The sequence below is a fragment of the Homo sapiens genome, chromosome 6, assembly GCF_000001405.40.
Source record: "Homo sapiens chromosome 6, GRCh38.p14 Primary Assembly".
Lineage (NCBI taxonomy): Eukaryota > Metazoa > Chordata > Mammalia > Primates > Hominidae > Homo > Homo sapiens.
This window is the reverse complement of record NC_000006.12, coordinates 159,419,313-159,426,346: the sequence shown is the minus strand read 5'-3', so window position 1 is coordinate 159,426,346 and position 7,034 is coordinate 159,419,313. Positions and strand designations below refer to the sequence as shown.

At 48.3% G+C, this 7,034-nt stretch overlaps 1 annotated feature.

Annotated features, from left to right (window-relative positions):
• Window positions 3,101-3,916: an enhancer, noted in NCBI's record as "H3K4me1 hESC enhancer chr6:159843463-159844278 (GRCh37/hg19 assembly coordinates)". NCBI's record gives its function as "activates a minimal SCP1, AML or CMV promoter by ChIP-STARR-seq in primed H9 embryonic stem cells {active_cell/tissue: H9 hESC(primed)}" and the evidence as "EXISTENCE:reporter gene assay evidence [ECO:0000049][PMID:30033119]".

Genomic DNA, 7,034 nt, shown 5'->3' with positions numbered 1-7,034 from the left:
ATCAAGATGGAGTTGTACCTCCTGTGGTTGGGCAGCCTGGAGACCCTGTGGGTCCTGCCCCATGTGGACGTTCACTGAGATGCACGGTGCTGCACAGGACAGACTAGGACTGCTGCTGCAGCCTTCTGTACTCACTGTGCACCGTGGAGATCAGGCCCACTCCTATGAGTCTTGCATCCCCACATACCTCTGGACTCCATATTTGGGAAGTTACCATCAGGGTCAGATCTTTAAGTGCGTCATTTTGACCAGCTCCATTTCCTTCACCTCCTGGTTTACTCTCTCACTATTAATCCAAGCAACTGAGTTCCCCATGGTCTTGGGGCCAATCCTCCAGAATTAGAATAGTGATGATGATGTCCATGTCAAAATACTGTGCTGGAAATGAAACACCCAACACATTTGTTTAGATACAGGAATGAAAATAACCCATTATCATGACATATGCCACAGCATTTTAAAAGCAGAACAGGCCAGTCAGCTTGGTCAAAACCAATTGAACAGGGTGTGTGGGCATGTGGTGTGTACATGCGTGTTAAGTCACAAATTTAAAATATGCTCAACCTCACCTCAGGCTGTGGTTACAAGTCATTCGTTCATTTACTCAGTAAGTACTCCATAGCCTACATACGTTTGTGTGCACCTTCTGCAAGGTTACAAAGGTTACATTTTCCACGCTTAATGTACTTAAGGTTTCAGAGGCAAGATAAAATACAAAATTGAGCAAGTGACAGCTGTTATCACCTCCAGGGGAGGAGTTGCACTCCACCTAGGGCAGTAGTCTCAGGATGTCAACACACTCCATGGTTTGGGATCACCGAGGAAGGCACAGCTCACACAGGCATTGGATAGAACAACTCTTCACTCACAGAGAGAAGAGACAGACTGATCAGCATCAATCATAGGTGTCGGTACCCCATGGCCAGGGAGATGGTCTTCCCCCTCTCATGTGCAGGGGAAGGACCCCAACTCCTCCTCTGTGGAGTTAAGATACAGAGAGCTGGGGGCCTCTCTGGGGCCATTGATACACCTGCTTATGCAGAGCAAAGGAGGACACACTGAGTCCAAAACAGAGAGATATTCCCAAACAAAGAGATCTGCCCAGCATGAGCTGGGAGGGCCCTTATCTCCTTGGAAGGAAACGTTCCTGGCTGAGACCACTCTTGCGTGGCTTTGCAGGGGTCAGAAGGCTGCACATGACACTACCATTCTTAACAAAAATTAAATATGGAGAGAGGCCACAGATGACTCAGAAGTGAGCCAGAGCCCTCAAAGCTTTCCAGAATCCCTCCTGACTTTGGCTTCAGGAAGGTGGTCTCTGAGCAGGCCATCGAAGGGTGGCAGGAAGCCGCTGAGAAGAAAAGAAGCTCACAGGAAAGAACCTGGAAATGCAGGCACTGACTTTGGCTGAGGCCAGAGTGTGCAAGGGCAGTGGGGAAAACCATGCCTGGAAGGGCCAGTGGGAAATGGAACAGCTGTGGCCTTGGGTCCTCACTAAGAGTTAAGGGGCAAGGGATGGAGAAGATGAGGCTGTTTGGACATTGTCATGGGTTGAATTGTGTCCCCCTCAAACGGTATGTTGAAATCCTAACCCCCAATGATATCCAGAGATAGAGTCTTTGTGAGATGTAATCAAGCTAAGATGAGGCCATTAGGGTGAGCTCTAGTCCAATAGGACTGGTGTCCACATTAGAAGAGAAGACACAGACAGACATGCACGGAGGGAAGACGCCATGAAAGCTCACAGGGGAGGATGCCAGGTGGTAGAGGTTAGTGTGATGTGTCTATAGGCCAGGGATTGCCAGCAACCACCGGAAGCTAAGAGAAAGGCAGGAGTGGATTCTCCCCTGGAGCCTTCAGAGAGAGCGTGGGTCTGCTCACACCTTGGTTGCAGACTTCTGCCTTCCAGAGCTGGGAGACAAGAAATTCCTGTTGTTTGAAGCCACCCAGTTTGCAGTCATTTGTAATGGCAGCCCCAGGAAACGAACACAGACACGATGACCGAGTTCATTCCTTTGCAATAAGGCCATTCTGAGGCTCTGTGTGAGTTGAGTGACCAGGGAGACACTTCTGCAGCTGCTGGCCCAGATGTTGCTCAGAGTCTTTGGAGAGATTGCTCATTGGTACCTTTCATGGCACCAGCAAACTTGCTCATGGGGTCATTACGGTCATGACATTGACTGCTCTTTTTTCTAAATATTTGTGAGACATCCTACATGTGTGCAATACAATGAAACCTGTTGATCATACCTCCTCCAATAATATGTGAGGTTCTAAAGACCTAACCCGGTCCTCGGTACATAGCTTTTCCCATTTGCGATGTTTCCCTGTTCACATTGTCTTTGTCAGTCTCTAGGAAGATATCATTAAAAACTCTCATTGAATCAGTCTTAAAGAAATATTTTTAAAAGATCTATATTCTATTCAACTGAAAATAGCAAGACTCAGTAAAAAGACAAAACTTAGCCTAAAAGCTTTTATAAGTCATTGCAAATTGTTGCTTCGCTAGCAAGGGGCTCAGCAGGAGGATCTAAGCTGTGAACCTACCCTGAATTCAGACTTGACTGAGCAGCTTGCAAGAGGGGCAGAACAAGGAGCAGAAACCAGTATGGACTACTTTCAGTTTAAAAGGAGAATTTATTAGAAATATACTAACAGTGCTGGGTGGCCCCAAAAGCAGACCATGAACATACTTATAGCACCAGCAAAGCAGGTACAGGAAAAAAAAATTAAGAATCTGATAAGCAATTTTTAAAAAGTAAAGTAGTTATCACATGCAAATCATAGCTTTGAAAAACTTCCTTATGCTTAATGTATGATCCAGCATCATTTTTAGCAACTAATGCAGGACTCAGGAGGACTCATCTTCTCTGGTTTTGGGGCCTTTCAAGGTAAAAATGTGGCCCTGGATCCCAGGATGTCGTATGGATTCAAGGTTGGCAATGCAGTGGCCCGGGGAGGGCTGCTGGAGCCCTGTACCCTAGGCCTTCACCATCGTGTCTGTGCTCCAGTCTTGGGAGGCAGGTTCCTCAGCCTCTAGGACAGTAGTGAGGGAAGAGGTAATCCCAACTCTTGCATCTCGGTTCTACCATGTGGTGCCTCTCTCTCTCACACACACACACGCAAACACACACTTCCAGTCCCAATTCTAAATTTGCAGACAAAAGACTCTTCCTCTGCTGGGTCAGGCCCACTGCTGGCTTAATGAACCTCAATCAGGGAGAGGTTTGGATGTGCAAAGAGAAAGGAGGAGCGAGACACAGAAGATTAGGGTGCAGATTCGGGAGTTGGACTTCATGGGCATGATTATGTGATACAAGCCAAGTTATTAAACCTCTCTAGTCTTAGTTTCCTTATCTGCTAAATGGGGCAAAGAACAGCGCCTGCCTCATAGGATCTCTGTGAGGATTAAATGAGCCACTTAATTCTGTGTTGGCACTTAGTGCTCAGTACATGTCAGCTAAAATTATCACGAAAACTCTTAGGAGACTCCTGTCACCACCCGGATCAAGGAGGGAGGAGCAGTCACTGGAATGAGCATGCCCACAGCTCAGGAGCTGGGCAGGGGGCCAAAGGCATCCACTGCAGAGGGCCGAGGACGGGGCTGTGGCACCAACCGCAGGAGGAGAGTGGAACATTTGACCTCTAAGCCTTGGACCAAGTGAGGGGCACACAGGGAGCAGGACCCTGCGAGGAAAGCCTCCACAGTCTGAGCCAGACAGGAGGAACTGCCTCCTGCTTCCCAGCAATGGCATCTTCCAAGGACAATAGAACATCTACAGAGGTTACGAGAAGGTTATGGTAAAAATGCTCACTTTGGGACCCATGGCATGAGTCATTCAGAGATAAGACTGCGTGTGGGGGTCAGTCAAGTGGGAAACAGTCTGGAAGGCATTTACATCAAAACCAGACTTGACTCTGGAGAACCGAGAAATCCTCCACCACTGCCCAGCCGCGGCCCCCAGCCCCCACTGTCAGCCCCGCAGCTCCCACTGTCATGTCGGCTCCTCTTTTTGAGAAAATGAGTCATGAGCGAGAAGCCACTCTGGTGACGGGACAGCTGTGTCACGGTGACCCTGTGGGACAGAACTCCTTCCTTTGCCAGACCACTTCAAATCTTTCAGACCCTAAAGGGAAGCCGGGCATTCTTAGGAACGGAGTAAATCCAGACTGCTGAGCCTGGTCCTGGGTGGACAGAGGAGGAGGCTGACTTGAAGTTCAGCCTTGTTCTAAGCACAAAGGCGTTCATTGTCAAGTCTACCCATTGTGAAAATGAAGCTTGGAGAGGTTAATTAGCTTGCCCAAAGTCTTACATGAAGTGACAGAGCTGGGAGTGGCTGGCAGAGGATGCGAATGCCTTACCCCCGTCTCCCTGGCCCACAGCTGAGCAGGCGCTGACATCCCCCTCACCCGCTCCCATGCACGCTGACAGCTGCCCCTTTCCACCTCCTGCCTGCCTTTCTGCTTCTGTGCCTGGGATTTCCTCCAGTCTCACTAGGAACTTGCTTGGCCCATGCTAGGGCACTTCAGTCAGACTGAGACGACCCAGGAGCTACCATCTGCGGATGTCACAGGCCACAGCAGGAACACAGGGGTTAAGTCACCTGCACTTGTAATGTAAAATGACAGCATTCTTTAACATGGGTCCAGGGCTTAGGCTTAGGATGAGGCCACCGTGCTTGCTGCACAGGCCCCCTCTCATCAGCTTGCTGTAATGCAATGCCCCAAGGCCACAGAGGGTCTCCAGCAGGACCATGGTCCTGTTGCCCACAGTGACAACCTGTTGAAGAACGCAGGCCCTACTGACTTTTCTTGCTAACTTTTCTGACTGTTTCAGTCATCGCAGGAGTTCAGTATTCTCATTCCAAGTGCACTGTTTCTTCCTCTTCCACCACCGATGGAGAATGGGATGAGAGAACAGCGTCTACCGTTTAAAGCCCCCATTTCCTGTGGCTTTTCATTTCATTATAAGTTGAGCAGGAGATAAAATGAGGAAAGAAGCGATAATCATCTTTTTCATTGCAGGGATCTATAGAAGTTCCCCAGGCAGCAAAACTCAGAGGTCTCTTGTCAATATCCGGGTCTGAATTCCTAGAAGTTGGCCCACAGGCTTTGATCTGCACTCTACCTGGATGCACAAGGCTTGCTTTCCATGAGGCTCCGAGGTCAGGACACACTTATTGAGCATCCATAGGGGGTGAGGGAATAGAAATGACCAAGGCTCAGTTCCTATCCTCAGGGAACATAAAGACTCTCACTGAGACTAAGAGGGAAAATACAACTCAACCCCCCTGAAATCTGCCAGCCCCTACTACAATAAACAACACAAGTGGGCTCCCAGGTGCCATTTCCAGAATTGTATTTTCCTCTCAAAGTTCCTTCAGAATTTCCAGTCCTTCTCCAGCCCTCCATGAGTTTCTTAAAATGATGGCTTGTGGCTTCTATCACTCCTCCCACCCCCAGCTTCCGAAACCTCAAGGCCAGCACATCAGGGCATGTCTGCTTTGGTTTAAATAGAGCATTACAAATCTTTCCCCTACTCTTCCTTGGATTCTTGCCTTCTTTTCCCATGTACTGCTTGTTCTAGCATTCAGAAAACAGCTTGTCCCTTTATCAAACATCATAGTTTGTCGTTTCCCAAGTCTTCATCATTGAGAAACCAGATGCCTTCATTTGTTGAAAAAGTGTCTTCAAAAGAGCTATCACACACACTCATTGTGCTGGGCCCCTGGAGGGTTTAGTTCACTTCGAGATACAGGAATGGACTCCTAGCATCCGTTTTACCTGATTTGAAGCCAAACCAGGCTCTCTCTCCACACATATCCCACCCAATCCAGTCTAAGACTAACATAGATTTACAGCCCAGGCCTAGCTGAAGCTGACCTGTAAAATAGATGCTTTCCACACAGGAACAGCCCTCGCTCAGCCCAGGCCTAGCTGAAGCTGACCTATGAAATAGATGCTTTCCACACAGGCACAGCCCTCGCTCAGCCTAGGCCTAGCTGAAGTTGACCTGTGAGATAGATGGTGGTATGGTTTGGCTTTATGTCCCCACCTGAATCTCATCTCAAATTGTAATCCCCAGGTGTTGAGGGAGGGAACTGGAGGGAGGTGACTGAATCATGGAGGCGGTTTCCTCCGTGCTATTCTCATGATAGTGAGTGAGTTCTCACAAGATCTGATGGTTTTATAAGCGTTTGGTAGTTCCTTTCTTTCCCTCTCTGTCTTTCCTGCTGCCTTGTGAAGAAAGTACTTGCTTCTCTTTTGCCTTCCACCACGATTGTAAGTTTCCTGAGCCGTCCCCAGGATGCAGAACTGTGAGTCAATTAAGCCTCCTTTGTTTATAAATTATCCATTCTCAGGTAGTAGCTTTATAGCAGTGTGAGAACAGATTAATACAGATGGTTTCCATGCAAGCACGGCCCCCACTCAGCTGGGCCTAGCTGAAGTTGACCTCTGAGATAGATGCTTTCCACGTCCTCACTGCACTCTCTCCCTGCAGCTCCCGATGCCCTCCCCAGCAGGTTAGTGTGGCCGTACGACCTTGGGCTTTGGAGCTATCCAGACAGCAGTATGAACCCTGCCTTTGCCACTTGAAAACTGAGTGATCTTGAGCGAGCTATTTATTTCAGGGTCCATTTTTTTCATCTGCAATGCAAAGACAGTACTAGAATCTACTGCAAAGAGCTGCTGTGAGGATTATGTGACAAAAAAGTGAGCAGAATGCTAAGGATAGTGTCTGCCACCCACAAGTGCTCACTAAGTGCTGGAGACTTTCATTACCCTTGGGGTTTGGGGGCTCTTCTGGGCCCTGTCATGCTTGTCATCCCTTGGTTCAGCACCTCTGTGTAAGTCCTGGGTTCCATCAACAGGCTCATTCCTTCAGTGTTGTCTCAACTTACTGGCTGAGAGGAAGAAGCTAATAAAAATCCAAGGTGTGAAGAACGGGAAACTATTCAACAATCACTCACCCAGGGACATTTTATGCTGCAAAGTAGGTTCTTCATTAAAGTATTAATTTACCTCAGTGTAAA